The sequence below is a fragment of the Homo sapiens genome, chromosome 8 (assembly GCF_000001405.40).
Source record: "Homo sapiens chromosome 8, GRCh38.p14 Primary Assembly".
Lineage (NCBI taxonomy): Eukaryota > Metazoa > Chordata > Mammalia > Primates > Hominidae > Homo > Homo sapiens.
In genome coordinates, this window is record NC_000008.11 from 133,189,911 (window position 1) to 133,209,050 (window position 19,140).

General features: G+C 50.7%; 1 protein-coding gene across 5 annotated transcripts in view, besides 2 other annotated features; it reads left to right on the forward strand.

The window, feature by feature from the left end:
• CCN4 (cellular communication network factor 4) overlaps positions 1,129–19,140 on the forward strand; it is a 40,652-nt gene continuing 22,640 nt past the window's right edge. For all 5 annotated transcript variants that reach the window (NR_037944.2, NM_003882.4, NM_080838.3 and 2 more), the window contains exon 1: positions 1,129–1,303. Coding sequence is in view for 4 of the 5 variants with exons in the window: in NM_003882.4 (NP_003873.1) it covers positions 1,235–1,303 (69 nt within the window). In the remaining variant the exon portion in view is untranslated. The remainder of the gene's footprint in view (positions 1,304–19,140) is intronic.
• Positions 2,001–2,248: a silencer, noted in NCBI's record as "fragment chr8:134204154-134204401 (GRCh37/hg19 assembly coordinates)". NCBI's record gives its function as "represses an EF-1alpha promoter that drives an FKBP-Casp9 reporter gene in an ReSE screen in HepG2 liver carcinoma cells {active_cell/tissue: HepG2}" and the evidence as "EXISTENCE:reporter gene assay evidence [ECO:0000049][PMID:32094911]".
• Positions 6,118–6,617: an enhancer, noted in NCBI's record as "H3K4me1 hESC enhancer chr8:134208271-134208770 (GRCh37/hg19 assembly coordinates)". NCBI's record gives its function as "activates a minimal SCP1, AML or CMV promoter by ChIP-STARR-seq in naive H9 embryonic stem cells {active_cell/tissue: H9 hESC(naive)}" and the evidence as "EXISTENCE:reporter gene assay evidence [ECO:0000049][PMID:30033119]".

Genomic DNA, 19,140 nt, shown 5'->3' on the forward strand with positions numbered 1-19,140 from the left:
AGGGCTGGACTAGGACAGCCCATAGAAGACATCCCATCTCCTTTCTTGCCCAAGGAAGAGACTCAGTGGCAGCAGTGCAATAAGGGTACAGGCCAGGAAACCCAACCCCCCAGGGATAGCAAGCATCCAGAGACACGTGGGGACAGCTCCAGCACCAAACGGCTTCTGACCAATGAGCAGAGACGGCAAACAGCAAATGCGTTACCGTGGCTTTCACGTGTCATGAAGGTGATGCTGTAACCTGAGCCTCAGAGCTCATTTTATTTGTGAATTCCTATCATCTCTAGATGGGTGGACTGAAAGCCACCTCTTTCGCTTGCAGCTAGGTAGAGGGGAGTGCAAGAGGGCAAATGAAAACCAGAAGTAGGGTTGGGCGCAATGCCTCACGCCTGTAATCCCAGCACTTTGGGAGGCTGATGTGGGCGGATTACCTGAGGTCAGGAGTTTGAGACCAGCCTGGCCAACATGGTGAAACCTCGTCTCTACTAAAAATACAAAAATCAGCTGGGTGTGGTGGCACATGCCTGTAATCTCAGCTATTCAGGAGGCTGAGGCAGGAGAATTGCTTGAGCCTGGGAGACAGAGGTTGCAGTGAGCAGAGATCGCGCCACTGCACTCCAGCCTGGCCGACAGAGCGAGACTCTGTCTCAAAAAAAAAAAAAAAAAAAAAAAAAAAGAAAAGAAAAGAAAAAGAAAAAGAAAAGGAAAAAGAAAACCAGAAGTAGGAGCAGCCTGAAGAAATGACAGGGAGTTGATTTCCCACTGGGAGCCCTCTCAAAGCCCACACACCCGCCTGCCTGGGGTAACAGTATCTCCTCGGACATCCTGCACCCTCCCATGCTCCCCCCTCCCTACAGTAGTGAAAGACCTAGGCAGGATGACCCCAGCTCCTCTGTGAGAATTTCACACCCTAGTGTGAAGTCATAGCCTTGTAACTTTCCCTTTAAGAACTGTCAGAGCTGGGGAGGCTGGCCAAGCTCAGGCTGGAGGTGGGGACAGAGGGAAGAAAGAAAAAAAAAAAAGAGAGAGAGGCAGGAAAAGTTTTTTCAGAGGAAAATGCAGGGTTTGTCCTTCACCCTGACGTCAGATCTTGCTTTAATAAAACCCCCCAAGGGCTGCGGAAGAGGCATATCTGGTGCTCCTGATGGGCCGGCCAGTCTGGGCCCAGCTCCCCCGAGAGGTGGTCGGATCCTCTGGGCTGCTCGGTCGATGCCTGTGCCACTGACGTCCAGGCATGAGGTGGTTCCTGCCCTGGACGCTGGCAGCAGTGACAGCAGCAGCCGCCAGCACCGTCCTGGCCACGGTGAGTCCTGCCTGGAGGGGCTCAGAGGGAGACCCAGCTCCCTTCTCTACTGGGTCCTGCTACATGGGGGCTGGTGGGCAGGATGAAAAGGGCCAGGAAGGTTTGGGGCTGGAAGGTGGCCACTTACAGGGCAAGGACAGAGCCCAGGGTGAGGAGTCAGCTGCCCAGGTTGGCTGAAGCTGGCAGGGTGAGGAGGACGGTGCGACACTTGGGGAAACAAACTGCACAGGTCCAGCCTGCCCTCTCTCCCCACCTGAAACAGTGCAGAAAGAACGGGGCCCTCAGCAGAACTGGGAGTCAGGGGCCCGGGCTCCAGACCCGTCTTCGCCTAACCTGGCTGTGTGGCCTCGGGTGGGTCACTCACCCTCCAGGAGCAGCGTAAAGCGACGAAGTTGTTAGGTGACTTCTAGAGTCTCTGAGTTTGAAAACTCCAAGACTCCAAGCATTGGAGATGCTGCGAAGATGGGAGATGGAAAAAGCCAAAAAAAATTGGAAAGAAAAATGCCAGCTTTCAACAAAAGCTCCTTATTGAGCAAACAGTGCTCAGGGTGATGTCTAACCCCAACTGCTGTCACCTCCGGTCTGCACAGCCCTCTGCAGTCTGCAGAGTGTCCATACTTGGGTCCTGCCTATGAAGCCTGCTGTTCCAGGGTGGGGGTGATGTGGGCACCCCAGAGTCTCTCTCTCTTCCACCTGCACCCCAGGGTACACCAAGGGGAAGGGACAAAGGTCTGCACCTCCAAAAGCCAGGGGAGTCACATATGTGACCGTGTAGAGCCAGCCTGCTAGGGCCAGGCATGGTGAGGAAAAGGCAGAGGCAGGCAGTGCAAGGAGGGCAGGAGGTGGGTACCTGGCAGCTTCTGAGCCCCAGATTCCACAGCCCAGGGCAGGACCTGCTCCTGGCAGAACAGCCTAGAGACGGAGGGGTGATGGCAAAAGAGTGTTTATCCCCAAATGACACTGATGGCTTCCTTGGGGGTTAAGAAGCCCCCTTCACAGATAAGGAAACCGTGTGTTGGGGTTAAACCACTTGCCAGAATCAGACTCTAGGTCTGCTTCAGCCAGAACTGAGGCCGAGAGCCGACAGCAAACTGAGACCTGGGAAATAGGAATTCCTCTCAATGCCTCGGTGTGTGTAATGATGGCGGGGAGTGGGTCTGTTTCATCTTGGTTAAATCCTCACGCCTGGCATGGTGCCTGACTATAGTTGGTTCAGAACCACCTTACCAGAAAGTTATCAGCTCCATTTCACAAATGAAAGAAATGGAAAGTGAGAGCAAGTAAAGGACTTGCCCAGGAGCTCCTCATTAATAAGTGGCCAGGGCCCAAACTTAGATCTTCTGATGCCAATTTCTAACCATTCCTACTTAGGGGAAGCTGACTGTGTCCTACAGGAGTGCCCAGAAGGAGCTAAGTCGCTGTTTATTTCGGCTCTGGGTATGGCTGCGCCTTTATTTGGGTATAGCTTTGCAGGTTGCTATGTCTGGGAGGGCAGGGAGAGGATGGAGAAAAGGTGAGCGTTTGAGAGAAGCCAAAGTCTGAGTGGGCAGAGGAGGCGAGAGGTTTAAGCATGAGTCCAAGTACTCTGGAGCCCCAGTCAGCTCCCAGAACAGCCGGTGCTGAGGAGGAGTGAAGGACAGAGCCGAGGACTCAGCCAGAGGAGACCAGCAAAGGAGCAGAGCGTGTGGAGGGACCCAGGGAGCAGGTTGGAGGGAAGGCTCCCGGGACCAGCACAAGGTACCTCTCTTCTAGGCAGCCCCTGCCTGGGGAACCCAGACCACCCACCCCATGCTTGTTTCATGATTTAGATGCTTCTGGGACAGAGGTGTGCACGGCACTGGAGTTCTCAGGATGTCCTGAAAGCCCCGCCCCCTGTGTGGGCTGTGAGACTGATAGAAACGAGCTGGACTCCATTTGGAAACCAGCCTTGTTTCATAGCCAAATTCCATACATGGTCATCCTCCCGAATTAATATGCAAAGGGAGCACATGTCCAACCAGGGTCTCAGTGAGATCTTAATGGAAAAAATTGTTGTAAATGTTCATATTGAAGAAAATGCATGTGAGAATTGCCAAGAAAACTTTGAGGAAGTAGAGTTACAAGGGGGACTTCTCTGGGAGATATGAAAGCACTCTGTAAAGATTCTGCAGTGGAAGGAGGAAGATGGCAGCCCAGAAGGAGATCAGCCAAGGAGGAAGGCACTGGAGTGATCTCAGGAACAGCCGAGTGTATTTGGGAATTTAATCTGTGCTAAAGGTGTATTGCAAATATGACTTATGCTTTCATCTCTTTATTCTTTTCTTCTGCATTTGTTGAGCATGTCCGCCATGTGCTAAGAGAAAGGGACTCCATTTAATGTGCATTAGCAAGCACTGAGCCAACACATGTATAAGACCAACCTCAGTTCACCCAACAAACATTTATTAGGCACATTCTACAATTCCCATAACAATATTATTTAGCAAGTGCAATTATCCTCCTTAACAGATATGAAAACTGAGACTCGGAGAGGTTAAGTAATTTGTCAAAGGTCACACAGCTGGTAATCAGGGAAGCTGACATTTGAACCTTGGTCCAGCTCTTGGTAATGTAGCCTCCTGCCTCCCTGGTCCAAGGGCAGAAACCAGGGGCATGTAGTCCCTGCCCGACAGAGTTTACTGGCTAGTGGGGCAGGTGACAGGGGTAACGTCAGCCAGAGTAGAGGGGCTGGAATCAGGCTCTGCCACTGGCTGTGTCGGCCGCACTAAGTCCCGTTGCACCTCAGACCTCACTTTCCTCGTTTGTTAATTGGGACTAACTGTCTCACCACACCAAGCTCCCTGCTGCTGAACGTGAAAATGTGCCTGAGGAAAACCTCTCAGAAGTGTGTAATTCAGCAAACGAAAGCTGAGTGATAAAATCCTGGGCAAGCATTAGGCCTGTGGTGGTCTATGTATAGGTCTACAGGTAAAACCCACATCCTCCCTCCTGTATCAGTGCATGTGGGATGTGCATAGCTGCACTGTGTGTGTGTGGGGTGGGGTGTGTTTGTGAGAGGGTGTGTGGGGGTATGCGTATGGTGTGTATGTGGGGTGTGTCTGGTGTGTGTGTGTGGTGTGTGTGTGTATGTGTGTGCCTGTGTGGTGTGTGTGGGGGGGTGGTGGTGTGTGGGGGTGTGTGTGTGGGGTGTGTGTGTGGTGTGTGGGGGTGTGTGTGGATTTGTGTGGTGTGTGTGTGGTATGTGTGTGTGGTGTGTGTGTGGTATGTGTGTGGGGTGTGTGTGTGTGTGGTGGGGGGTGTGGTGTGTGTGGAACATGAGTGTGGTGTGTGTGGGGGTGTGTGTGGTGTGTATGTGGTGTGTGTGGGGGGGTGGTGGTATGGAGGGGTGTGTGGGGTGTGTGGGGTGTGTGTGTGTGGGTTTGTGTAGTGTGTGTGGGGTGTGTGGGGTGTGTGCGTGTGTGCGTGTGTGGTGGGGGATGTGGTGTGTGTGTGGTGTGTGTGTGGAGGGTGTGTGTGGTGTGTGTGGGGATGTGTGTAGTGTGTGTGTGGTGTGTTTGTGGGGTATGTGCCTGGGGTGTGTGGGGGGGATGTGTGGTGTGTGTGTGTGGTGTTTATTGTGTGTGGTGTGTGTGGTACGTGTGTGTGTGGTGTGTGGTGTGTGTGTTGAGTGTGTTTGTGGTGTGTTTTTGTGTGTGTATGTGTGTGGTGTGTGTACTGAGTGTGTATATGGTGTGTTTGTGTGTGTGGTGTGTGTGTGGTGTCTGTGTATGTGTGTGGTGTGTGTGTTGAGTGTGTATGTGGTTTGTGTGTGTGTTGTGTGTGTGGTGTGTGGTATGCGTGTGTATGCATGGTGTGTATGTGTGTGGTGTGTATTATGTATGTAGTGTGCTTGTGTGTGTGTGGTGTGCGTGGTGCTTGTGCATGGTGTGTGTATGGTGTGAGCATGTTTGTGGTGTGTGTGTGTTGAGTGTGTATGTGGTGTGTTTGTGTATGTGGTGTGTGTGTGGTGTGTGTATGGTGTGTGTATGTGTGTGGTGTGTGTCTGTTGAGTGTATATGTGGTGTGTTTTTGTAGTGTGTGGGTGGTGTGTGTGTGTTGAGTGTGTATGTGTTGTGTTTGCGTGTGTGGTGTGTGTGTGTGTGAACCTTGTGTTTGGGTGTGAGATACAAACTCATTCTCTGCTTCCAGAAGCAACTGCAGAATAATGTGGGTCAAGTGTATGGCAAAATATCCCCTTTAGAAAACAGAGAATGTGAACAATATGTCTTTTCACACCTCCTGTTTAGAGTTGGAATCTGAGTGAAGATTTCAAACCCCATCCAGGCCCCACACCCCCAACTCCCCACCCAGAGCCTCTTTGGGCTCCCTGAAGCCCCTGCTGCCAGCTCAGGGCCCCTCCAGCCGACAGCTTATCTTGGAGGCTGGCACGAGGACGGCACTGAAAGGCATTTCCCCCTCGGCATGGCATTTGGAGAAGGAGTGGGCACGGGAACAGGCCTCCGCCCAACCAGCTCCTTGAGAGACAAAACGCTACCTTGTGGGCTGAGCAGCACTCCTGGCTCCACAGCAAGCCCCACCAACCACCCCCAGGTTTTAGAAAAGGCTCCGGCCCTGTGCCAGCAAAGCACCCACATGCCAGGAGGCTGCCCTTGGCTTTGTATAAACAGCAACCCAGGGATCTTCCCAGGAACCTCAGCCATCCTCTGGGCAGCAGGGAGGCAAACTCCAAGGGAGGTGGGCTCTGATATGGAAGCAAGGGTGGCGAAGCAGCCATGGTCCAGGTGGGTTCCTGGGAGGGGCTGAGAAGGGTGCCAACCACAACCAGGAAGCAAAGCGAGCCAGCAAGGGTCACCGTGGAGGTTTCAAAGCAAGGCTTCAGCACAGCTGTCCCCTCATTCAAGGACACTGTGGTGGGCCCTGCATCCCTGTGATGTGGATGGTGGCAAGGGTTCACACTGAGCATGTGCCCACTCTACTCTGGGCACAGTGCCCTTTTGCACACACCTATGAGGCAGCGGTGTTGCTGTAATCTAGACCAGCCAGTCAGTAGCCACGTGTGGCAGGAGGCCACTCAGCACTTGAAATGAGGCTGGTCCCAGCTGAGATGTTCCGGAAGCATAAGATACACCATTGATTCCAGAGACATGGTATGAATGTGAGAGCGCAATATTCCCATTAATAATTTTTATATTAACTCCATATTGAGATGATAATATTTTGAATATACTGGGTTAAACACAATCTATTATTCCACTAAACTTCATCTGTTTCGTATTACTTTTTAATACCGCTACTAGAAAATGTAAAATTTCATCTATGGCTCTTATTGTATTTTACTAGATGGTGTCGGCCTAGAAAGACACAAGTGTGCCTAAGGCTATGATAACAGGTAGGGAGGGAGAAATGCCAAGGGTTCTAATCCCAGTGTCTCCACTTACAGGCTTTGTGCCCTCAGGTAAGTAGCCCAGCTTTTCTGAGCCAGGATCATCTCTGTATAAAGGAATATATTAACATTAGTACTATTGGCTTGTTAAGGGTGTTGAATGGGGAATGAAGCAGAGACAAAGCCCACAAGGCCCCAGAACACCCAAGGGAAGGATTCTATTGTTCCAATAGCAGGGCAGGGGAATTCCAACTTGAGTGGATGCACCAGCTGCAGGCAAGGCCCTATCCAATGAGCAGGGGTTTATAAAGACCTCAGGCTCAGCACCAGTTGGCTAGGAGGAGGGGCAGGCTGAGGGGCAGACTAATGGGCAGGCTGTCCTGGCTCAGTGCTGGGCATGTGTTCTAAAGATCCCACAGATTCCATAGCCTGGCCAGCTTACCTGGCACATTTAGAGGGTCAGTGAACACTTTTGGGTTATTGTGTAGGAGAAAGAAATGATGATGATGATGATGATGGTGGTGGTGGTGGTGGTGGTGGTGCCTGTAGGTGAGATGTGTATCTTACTAACCTGAGTCAGGATGTCCCTCAATGCCAACTGTGAGTTTCTGAGCCTATTTCCTTTTTCCATGGACCCCAACAGACCCAACTATATGCCCAGCCACTTCCAGTTTCTAGAGGTGTGGTGGTGAGTGGTCTCTCTGTGTTTAAACTGGAGGATGGTTCCAGTGTGGAACAGAGGTTTATATTAGCAGAGAGGGGTATGTTTAGGACTCAGAGGGGGAAGCTCGGAGAACATGGGAGATGGTGAAAAACATGTTCTGGAACCCTGAACCAGAATTCCTAGAAAGACCTCACCCTCACACGTCTGCACATTAACCAGCACCCTGATGATTCTTATGTATACTTGATTTCAAACACCAGTGACCGAGATAGACTCTAGTCTCCCCCCCAGCTCTGACATTCCATTAACCAGTCAGCTCCCCTCCTCCTCCTCCTCTCTATGAAAGAAGGAAGAGAGACAGAGTCGAGGGAGAAGAGACTGCCTCGCAAATGTGAACGATGGGCATTCCAGGGGATGCGATAAAATCTGAGCCCGCCCACCCCACCGTCTCCAATCTGGAGGCAAGTTCAGGCTTGGGGCTTTGAGTGTGGATCTGCTAAGTCTTGATTAGGGGTAGGGGGTAGGGTGAGAGAAAATGAAAGCCCAGGCCCAAAGGAAAGGAAGGGAGGGGTCCACCCTGCAGCTCTAGGAATCCTGCTCTGAGTCTGGGAGTGGAGAAAGGCATGTGTGCTATGAGCCTGCCCATGGCTGGGAGGGGATGAAGGCGGGTAATTCTAAGAGTAGGGGAATATCCTGAGAGAGCAGGGACTCATACCCCTGCCCTCAGAGCAGAACAGCAGACTCCTTGCCTAGAGAGCTAGAAGACCAGGGGGAAATAGCTCCTGCTGTGTGGCTTTAGGCAAGCCACTTGCCTTCTCTGTACTCACTTTCTCATCTTGAAAGTGAGGAGATTGGACTTGATCCCAAAGCTGGCTTCCAGCTGGAGCTGCCATATATTCCAAGAGTCCACTCATTCATTCATCGGGCAGATCCATCATTTAACAAGCAGCAGGGGAGCTCACGCTGCTGCTTCTCTAGAAAGGGGTTGTCGGCACCCAAAATGTATGTCCCTTGCTCTAGGTGTCTATTTAGATGTGCTTTGTCCCTCTTACAGTGTCCAAAAATATTCTCCTTTCAGCCCACGTCTCTTTTGTCAATCCTCAAAGTGTAGCTGTGTTTCTGGCCCACAGCAGCCTCATACAACTGAAAATCACATCAGCACCTGGACGTCCGAGGGGTCCCACCATCTCAGTGGTTTCCCAATTAGGCCCTCTCCCTGCTCTTCCTACACAAGCCTGTTTTCCCAGTCTCTTCCTTTGGTTCTTCTCCCATTCACCTTCTTTTCTACTTCATGAGCCTTGCTGTCAAATACTCCTGAGTTCCGCCTCTGTGCACGTGGCCAAGCTGTTCCTTTGCTCTGAAATGCCTTCCCCATGCTTCTCTGATTCATGAAATTGAAGCCATCTGAACTGGTGGCCTCCTCCAAATGGAGCTGCAGACATCTTCCAGTGGGCACCCATGGGTTCTTGTTCTTGCCCACGTGGAGGGAAACACGTCGCCCAGCTGGGACTCTCTGCTGGCCTTGCCCTGTGTTTGAGCCACCCTCCCTCCTCCCCCTACCCTCCTGCAAAGCCAAGCCCTTTGTCGCTTCCTGACCACCTGTGCCCTCAGGCCCCAGGGCCTTTGCACATGCTGTGCCCTCTACCAGGCTTGCCCATACATCTTCCCTGCTCTGTTGCTCTGTCACTGTCTATGCCTGCATATTGCAGGTGCTCACAGTGTACTTCCTGATAGGATGAATTAAAGCAAGAACCAGACCTGGCATAGGCTGGGGAGAATATGTGTATAGGAGATGGGGGAGGCTGGGAGGGAACACCACTGATTTTTTTTGAAGTAGAAGCTTCATGCTGGGGAGGAAAAGGAGGGAATTTGGCAAGAGGGCCTGGACTCAACTGCTAAGAGGACTGAGTGGCAAGCGGCAGCTTACGGGCTTGGTTCTGGAGCAAGGACAGAACGAGGAGTCAGGAGACTGGGGTCTCTGCAGGCTCTGCCTGCATCTCTGAGCCTCAATGTCTTTATGTGAAAAAGGAAACAAGAAGAATGCCCCTCTGCTCAGGCTTGTGCTCTAGGCAGGGTAGTGCGGTGGTGAAGAGGAGGCGGGCAGCACACAGCCTGGGTCAAGAGCCAGCTCCACCACATCCCAGCCCCAAGCCCTTAAATTTCCTGGGTCTCAGTTTCTCATCTGTAAAATGGATGTAAATGCCCGTGTCACAGAGACCTTAGGACTAAGAAAGAGGACTTAGAAAGAGGTTGGGTGTGGAGCATGTGTCGAGAAGGGGCTTGGAGGAGCCATAATTAGACAGGGAATATCAAGCTGCTTTGAGATTAGACAGTGTTGTCTCATGGTCCTTTTGGGAGCTCATGGATAACAGAGCTGGCAGGCGCGCGTGGAGTGAGATTGCAGCCACCTGTCTTCCCAGCCATGCTATTTGTATTTAAATCTGTCGCCTACATACACATGCACACACGCACACACAGGCACGCATGCCAGTTGACTTCCTTGACAGCTGTTTCTGGCCTTGTGCTCCAGTGCCAAGTCCTGATGCTTGCAAACTTTGGCTCTTAGATGATCAAAGAGCCAGCCCTTGTTGGGCCCTTAGTGTGAGCCAAGGCCCACGGCGAGCCCCTTCCCACAGGTCTCATCTGATGTTCACGAGAGCCCTATGTGGCAGGAGCTCCTATCAGCCTCATTTTAAAGAGGAGAAAACTGAGGCGCCGAGAGTTTTACGCACTTCCATGGCATGCAAGGTTCAGAACACCACCGTGTGCCCCAAGCAGGCTGCCTAGACCAGCTCCTAGGGGTATCCTTGTGTGTCAGTCCCTTAGGCCAGTTCTGTTTCTCCCTATCTGAGCCAGGGATCCAGTGCAGGAGGAGGGAAGGGAGATGGAGTCACGCTCTGGGCGGTGGAGGGAGGACAGATAGACTTTATCCCCTGCTTTATTTCCCTGATCCACGAACCATTGCCAGATGTGGAAGGCCCACAGTGATCCCTTCATCCCAGCCTGCTCTTGTTACAGAGAAAGTGACTTGTCCAAGGCCACCAGCTTCAGCATGGGGACTGGAGCCCAGGGCCTCTCCCCTCCAGGGAAGGAGCTCAGGAGACTGGAAGACGATCCCCACTACCCCATCGGGTAGATGCCCACTCTGCCCTTGTAGGTGGAACAAGCCCGAGCTCAATGACAGCAAAGAGCTTCATTCTTCCACCCGTGTCTGTGTTCGCTGTGGCTCCAGGGCTGGCCCCCTCCGTGGTCTCCCCATAGCCACCGCCAAGCCCAGGCCTGGGACATGAAAGGCCCTCGGTTACATATGGTTATTTGAATGAACTGGACAGTGGGCAAGAACAAGGTGCCTTAGAGGTAGCTGGAGGAGGATAGGACCTGGAGTCAAAACAGCTGACTGTGTCATTTTCTTGTTGTGTCTCAACCTTTTTGGGTCTCAGTTTCCCATCTGTCAAATTGGGGCCATCAATGCTGACCTCATGGGATTGTTTTGATGATCAGGAAACTGACTTCAGGAAAGACCACTGCCTTCCCCAGGGGAGGGAGCACGCATCCTCTGTCCCGGGCCCCTGACTGCCATCTCCGTGTCCTTGAACATTAAGCCCTAGCAACATGGCCCACTGGTCATCACGTGTCATGCCACGTTGCTTCTGCCTGCACACCCCTGCTCATGTCATCCCCAGCTTCAGGGCCCTCTCTGCCCTCCCTCTCATCAATTTCCACTCATCCTTTAGGATTCAGTGCAAATGTCTGCTCCTCTAGGGAGCACTCTGTGGTCCTATTCCCAACCCCATGCCCTTTCCCCTCTTCATCTCATCCTCGTAGCCCTTACTTAGACTATGCTAAGTTACCTTACAGTGTGGCCCTTAGGTGTGAAGCCTTAAGAAACGGATGCTTTGAGTCCCAGGGCTGAGGTTCAAACCTCAACGTTGCCATTTGCTAGTGGCTTTGGAAAAATTATCTGACCTTTACCTTTTTGTGACTCAGTTTGCTCATCTAACAAATGAGGAAGCTAATAATAACAGCAGCCTGCCTCTTAGGATAATCACAAGGATTAAATTACTTACTTAAAATGTAGATGATCTTGATTCAAAGAAACCATCTGTTAAAAAAAATTATTTGGGAGAGTGCAATCTGAATGTGGACTGGGTATTAACTAGAGAAAGTTACAAAATTGTAACTAATTTATTGGTGTGATAATTGCATGGGGGTTACATTTTTCCTAAAAATTCCTCATAATTTAGAGACACACTGGAGAATTTCAGGTAAAATCTCAGGCTGTCTAGGATTCGCTAGATTTTTAAGAATAAAAAAGCATACAGCCAGGTGTGGTAGCTCATGCTTGTAATCCCAGCACTTTGGGAGGCTGAAGTGGGTGGATCACTTGAGGTCAAGAGTTTGAGACCAGCTTGGCCAACATGGTGAAACCCCATCTCTACTAAGAAATGCAAAAATTAGCAGGGCCTGGTGGGAGGCATCTGTAATCCCAGCTACTCGGGAGGCTGAGGGACAAGAATCACTTGAACTCTGGAGGCAGATGTTGCAGTGAGCCGAGATCACGCCACTGCACTCCAGCCTAGACGATACACTCAGATTCAGTCTCAAAAAAGAAAAGAAAAGAAAAGAAAAGAAAAAAACCCATACATGTGTGGGGAAAATGGAAGGAACAAGACCAACTAAGTGTTGATAATTATCAAAGCTGCCGATGCGTATGTAGGGTTCGTTATATTATTCTCTCAACGTGGGTGAATATTTAAATATGTCTCTAGCAAAGAACACAGTTTAAATTTGTGTACAGTATTCAGTGTTTTTTGTTGTGGTTTTCTCACTACTCTCTAAAACTGTGAGAACATTCAGCATTCTTTCCCCTGCTCAGTAAGCAGGTCTTGTGCAGTTAAATGAAAATGATGTATTTTACCCTTGATGTTTTGTTAAAATGACTGAAAATGGGAGAAAACCAAAAGGAGTAGCTCCCGATGAAAAGACCCTTAAGTTCTTCACCTCCCTGGACAAACAGGGTTATCATATAGTGGGCAGGCCCTTATAAAAATGTCATGAGCCATCTATGGCTCTTGGGCTGTAGTTTTTGACCTTTATAATGCGGTTGCCTGTTTTACGTTCCTGTCTCCTTGGAGGCTGGACGTTCTCAGAGGCTTTGTCTCTGACACTGGCCACTGCATGTGGGACTTAGTAGATGCTTTATATACAGATTGACAAATGAGTGAATGCATGAGTGAACACATGGACTAGGGCTCGTTATCTGGAAAAAAAACCTGGCTTCTTGCCCCTTGTACCCTCATCATGTAAAGTTGACTTTCCCCGCCTGCATGTTTATAAAACCAATTAGTAGAAAATCTCGAAAACCTTCTACATCCCATAACATGCAGCCTGGCCAACAACTTTCTGGAAACCACCCTTGGGAGTTTCTGGGCAGTGCGGTGGGGGAAGGAGGAGGATGTACCTGGCTCATACACCTTTCACGGGTTTGGAGCTAAGAGCTTTCAAAGGTGATCTACCCAGGACCACTGTCCCAGGCCCCACTTGAAGGGGAGCCCCCACCAGGGCCCGGGATACAGGTGCCTAGGGGTGCAAGTGCCGGAGGTGTTGGGAAAAGAGGTGTTTGTTACCTGTGGCTGACTCAGAGGCACCCGATGCGCTTTGAAACAAGCGTGGGGAAGACATGGGCACCGGCCAGGCCTGTATTCTCTCACGGTCCCCAGGGCTTCTCTTTTCAGCAAAGCAGTGAACAGAAGCTGCTTCCAGCAGGACAACCCTGTCCTGAAAGCTCCCGGGCCCAGCTAGGGCCGGCTCCGGCCATTCCTGCCTCAACCCTGCCCCCTGGTGGAGTATCTAGGTGCGGCCTCCGAAACAGGGCAAGCCAAGGCCTCCGACCGTCCACACTGCTCACGGAGCACTTGCCCAGGGTGTGCCAGGCGCAGTGCCGGGCACCCAGGAGGCGGGAAAGGGCAACCCGTCCCTGAGAATCCCCACAAGGGCTCCTCACTCCTCTTCTGGGGGCCCTTGGCAACCTGGGCTCAATTCCATTGCTATCTTCCCAGGGGGTGAGGACCCTGCCTTGTTCATCTGAACAGCAGGCACATAGTAGACGCTTGGTACATGTGTGTGATGGGCGGGTGGAGGGAAGAACAAATGAATGAGGGAGCCGTGCAGCAAGGTGATTACAAGTAAGGGTTCTGCAGGGACACTCTGGGTCAATAGACCACCTTCCAGCTGCGAGATCTTGAGCAAGATTCTTGAGCTCTTGGAGCCTCATTTTCCTCATCTGTGAACTAGGGATGACACTAATAACTGCTCATTAAGGCTGCTGGAGGATGTTGACATCACCATCATTTTACAAATGATGAAACAAGCTCAGAGCAGGTGAGCACGGCTCCAGATCCCAAAGCTGGGAGTGGCAGGAGGTTGGGGAATTGTCAAATGGGGTCCCCTCATTGCAGATGACGTGCCCTTTCTGCAAATTCCATGCCCTGTTCACAATAAACTGCACACACTCTTAGAAGAGAAAGGGATCTATCTCCTTCATCAAACGGGACGCTTCAGATATCCTGGGCAGTCCACCCCACCGCTGCTAGCCTCCCACGTTCTGCTCCTATGCCTATTGCTAAGCATTTTTGTAAAAATGAATACTGATATGCAAACGTCAAATTATAGACTTACCTCTTCCCAAGTCCACTTTCAAAGAGCTGAAATACACCATAATAATCAGTTACCACTCACCTTTAAATATTATCTCAAAAATACATGTGAAACATTTCCTCCAGGGCTTTATTTTTTTTCCTTCCCAATTTTAATCAGCTTAAGTTTGTCCAATAAGTATGATTGAAGGGATCACTTCATCACTGTTCACCTACCTACTGATAACCCTGTTTGTCCAGTGGGGTTAAGGACTTAGGGGTCTTATCATCGGGAGATACTCCTTTTGGTTGTCTCCCATTTTTCAGTCATTTTAAAATATCAAGGATAAAATACATCATTTTCACTTAACTGCACAAGACCTGCTTACAGAGCAGTTGTGTCACCCTGATGAATCACAGAATGCGGTATGTTCTGCAGGTCTGCGTGAACTGCTGTGTGAAAGCAGCTTAGCAGTGTCGGTGGGTAATGAACATGGGTGTGGGTTGTACAAAAGTCAGATGTTAAAAAAGGAAGATGGTCTAAAATCTCCACACTTTTCTCTTATCCCTGCCCAATGTTCTAAGGCAGTGGTTCCTATTTCTATAAAAATTCCCAAGGGTTGCTGGTCAAACTGCTACGGATTCCAGGCTTCAGCCTAGAGAAACTTAAGGCGAATATTCAAAGAGGGATCTAGGAATCTGGTTTTTATCACTCTGTCACCCAGGCTGGAATGCAGTGGTGCAATCTTTGCTCACTACAGCCTCTGACTCCCAGGTTCGAGCAATTCTCCTGCCTCAGCCTCCTGAGCAGCTGGAACTATAGGCATGTGCCACTACATCCAGCTAATGTTTGTATTTTTAGTAGAGACAGGGTTTTGCCATGTTGGCCAGGCTGGTCTCGACCTCCTTGACCTCGAGTGATCCACCTGCCTCAGCCTCCCAAACAGCTGGGATTACAGGTGTGAACCACATGCCTGGCTGAGGAATCTGTATTTTAACAAGTTTCACAGGCCAGTGATTCTGAAACTTTGGGGCATTCAGAACCACCTGGAAAAAATCCCAATGCCCAGGCTCCTCCCAGGCCCCTTAGGTTGGGATCTCTGAGTAGAGTGTCCATTAAAGCCCCAGGGTAGTTGTACTTTGCAGTAAAGTTTGGAAATCATCATCATAGTACCTGGGTAGCTAGGAGGGGTTGCTGAGGAGGGAGGGGTATGGCAGGAGGAGTCTCAGTGGGGTAGGTGGGGCCCGGTGGGCTCAGAGGCTGCAGCAGGCAGAAGTGAGCAGGACCAGGCTGTGCCTGGGCAAGCCCTGGGCATCTTGCCAGCAGAAGCACCGCAGAGTGGCCACCACCTCTGTCTTCCCCATAAACATAGTGTTATCTGCAGAGTCTATTTCCAGAAGTACATCATGAAAGAGACTTTTATGTGAACATCTGCAATTTGGAAATCCCAAGGCTGTTTTGGTTTGTTGTTGTTCTTGTTTGTTTGTTTTTGTCTTTGTCTTTTTTTTCCCCCTCCTCTGGCCTTCCCTAGACAACACTCTCCTTGACTTACGATCTTTTCTCCTTTTTGCCTTCTTGGCTTCTGTTGTTGGACAGAATGATGCAGGCTCCATATGACAGTGTGTTTGCAAAGATCATTTTCTCCATCTGCAGAACAGGCCCAGGCACCCCAGCTCAGGTAGCTCATGGTGGGTAAGAAGATAGCCGTCAGGGCTCTCTGGGGACTCTACAGGATAGGATATGGGGCAGGCTCCTGCCTGTGGCTGGGGAAAACAGGAATAGCTTCCAATCCCCAAGGAAAATGAAAGCCTGGTAGAAACCTCAGAGGGTCCCAGGGGCCCAAGCAAGCATCCTGGGGTTTGAGGATGAGCCCCAGCCCCCAGAAGGAAAGCACTATTTTTGAGATCCTACAGAAGCCTCTGGAAAATGTGCAGGCCTTTTTTTGTATTGTTTAGCTGCAAAAAGATTCCTCTAAATGTTCATATTCTACTAATTACCTCTCTCTCCCAAACCCAGGCAAGCCAAGCAAATAGGTATTTGTTTTGCACAAATACCCATTGCTTACACAGAAATGGGTTTATCGTTTTTATTTTGACAAAGGCCATACTCTCATTGTCCACTAAAGATAAGGGCCAGGTGTGGCTTAGGGGCCCGAGCTCCCGGGCTTCTTCACTGCACAGCACCACAGGTGCGGCATGGGAGTCCCACCAGCAGCCAAACCAGGGTACTAGAGGCTGGGATGATACAGCTGGTTTACCTATGGAGCCACAGCTCTGACCCAGAGGCGCCACACATTTCCTTCAGGATGTGTTGATGTTCTGGACCAACAGAGACACCCCCAGAAAGGCCCCAGACCAACCACTCAAGGTCAACACACATACGTGCCCCAGATATTCCCCCAGTGACTCCCCATCATGACAGACCTGGGTGCACTGAGGAGGTCCCCAGACAGCAGGAAAGGGTGGGGCTGGTGGTACCTGGGCCCTTGGATGACTCCGCAAGCGGATGTGCAAGGAATGAGGAGTTGAGAGCCCACATAGGATGCACAGACAGAAGGTGGTGTGGGAAACTCTCATCTCCCTTCTCTGGCTGAGATGCTTCCCCCACTCCTTTTTTTGGGGGGTGGAAAAAGAGAACCATTCAGTGAAAAGAGCTGTGAACCAAAGCAAAGGACAGGTAGAGATGTCATGCCATCCTGGATGTTGAAGGAGGCTGATGGTGTGTGCGCATGTGTGTGTGTATGACAGAGACAGAGAGAGAGACCCTACACTGGCCTTCCAAGCAGCTGAAGCCCCAGTGAGTAGCCTTCGAGGGATGCTCAGGGGATGAGCTGCCTCAGCCTGCCTGGGGCCGAGGGAGGCTGCCAGTGGATGGGCACAAGGTGCCAGGGATCACACTGGAATTAAGGTCCCAGAACTAACTGGGAGGTTCTAAGATGTGACCTCGCCACCCCTACACTCCAAGCCACTGCCAGGGGGTTCTTGGACAGGCTTTTTCATTAGAAGCTGGTATCATTCACTGTATATGCCACCGGCCCAGGAGGAGTGAAAGCCGCCATGGCACCATGCACCTCCAGTTGATCAGGGCCCCAGAGCAGCTTTGGAGTGGAGCAGGAAGGCGGGGGGGAAACTATGGCTTCACTCAGGGAGAGGTGGAGAGTGTAAGCACAGGCTTAGAGTCAAGCACTTCAGACTAGAGTCCTTCTGCCGTTCCCTGCTCATGCAGGGACAGATTGGGTAAAGGAGTTCTAAGATGACTCACAGCGTTAAGACTCACCGGCTCTCCAGGAGAAGTTCTGGCCATGAGGCCCCTCCCAACCCTCACTCTTCAGCAATGAGCATCATTTGTTGTCTCTGGAAGCTGAGTGCTCATGCACTAGACCACCCGAATGGCAGCTTAGGCTGGACTTCAGGGGAGAAGCAGGGCAGTGGGCCGTTATCAGCTCATTTTTGGCAGCAACAAGAACCCTGAAGGGACAGGTACCCCCACATGGGGATCCAGCTATGTCCCAGGATCCCAAAGCCTCTCCTTGAGCTCCCAGCCCCCATGAAATATTTGTTTTGCTCAAGATCTGATGGGAGCATGTCCCCAAAATTCACATGTGCACGGTGTTCCCTGTGCAGTGATCAGAGGCAGAAGAGTTAGTGGCTCGAAAACTCTGGACAAGGCAGACCTTGGTTCCATCCCTGACTACCTGACCTGTGTGGCCTTGCACAAGACATTAACCTCTCTGTGCCTCTGTGTTCTCACTGCTCAGGGGAACATTAGCAGACCTGCCTTGTGATTTGTTAGGGGATTATATGAGATAGTGCAAACAGAGTTCTCCATATAGAATGAGCCCTCACTCAGATCTTAGGTATGTTGATTATAAGGGCCTGTGAGTTTGTGCATGCAGGGGAACAGATGGGCGGCATGTGGTTTCTGCCTTCAAAGGATGGCAGATTGGTTGGGGAAATGAACATTCACTCATGTATTCACCCTATCAACAGATGCTTATTGACACCTACTATGTGTCAGGCTTTGTGAGGCTTGATGTCCCTCTACAACTGCCAGCCCAAATAATTGTCTAGCTGCTTCTTGATTACTTCCACTGATGGTGCACTCACTACCTTTCAGCTGTTTTTTTTTTTTTTCATCAGAAAATTCTCCCTCATGTACAGTAGTGGGAAAAACATTAACTGAAACAGTTCCAGATTCAAATCCAAGTTCTGTCATTTACTAGGTGTTGGGCATAAGCAAGCCACTTTACTGATCTGTTAAATGGGAATAATAATACCAGTCACTGTGCAGAAGACAAATGAGATCAGCCAGAGTCACTGAGGGCTAGGGCAAGACAGTCCCCAAGTGGTCATCAGAGTGATGGTTTGCAATGGATGTACCAGCAGGAGGAATTCCAGCTGTGACCTCATATGATGCTCACTTCCAGTCACTTGCGAGCTAAGCGATGGTAGCAATGCCGTTTTACAGAGGAGAAGACAGGCTCAGAAAGTGAACTCCCAGAGTAACATGAACAGTGACAAAGCCTGGACTGGATACAGTGTGGTGTTTCTAAAACACAAATCTAACCCTGCCATCCTCCTGCTAAAATCCTTCAATAAACCATTCTTCCAGACCTCAGCCCAAACCAAGGCATTCAAGGTCTTCCTTGATGTATGCTGTGCCTTGAACCCATCCTCATCCGTCCTAGCCTTCGCCTCCTCCTGCCTCCACCCTGCACCCTACACCAGGCTCTGCAGGCCCCAGGCCCTGGCACATGTTGCCAGCTCAGTGCCTGTGCACTTGAGGGTCCTTGCGCATTGGGTACCCTCTCCTGCTTCCTCACTGATCTATTCCCACCCCCTCTTCAAAACCCGTTCCCAGTGCCTCCTGTCTTGGGAAGCCCTCTTCAGCCCCAGCACACACACAGCCCAGCCACTCCCCTGTCATCCCACAGGCAGGTCTGCTTGGCTCTCACACTGCATCCCCAGCACCTAGTGCTGCACCTGGCACAAAATAAAAGCTGACTACAGGTGTGTTGAATAAATAAATGAAAGGGAGAATGAATAAATGAGTGGATGCCATTGTTATAGCATTGATTGCACTGAATTGCAATCATTATTTATGTGTCTGTTGGCCTCACTAGGTGGGGAGCCAGTCAGGGGCTCTGTCTTAGGCACCTTCGTCTCCTCCCAGCCT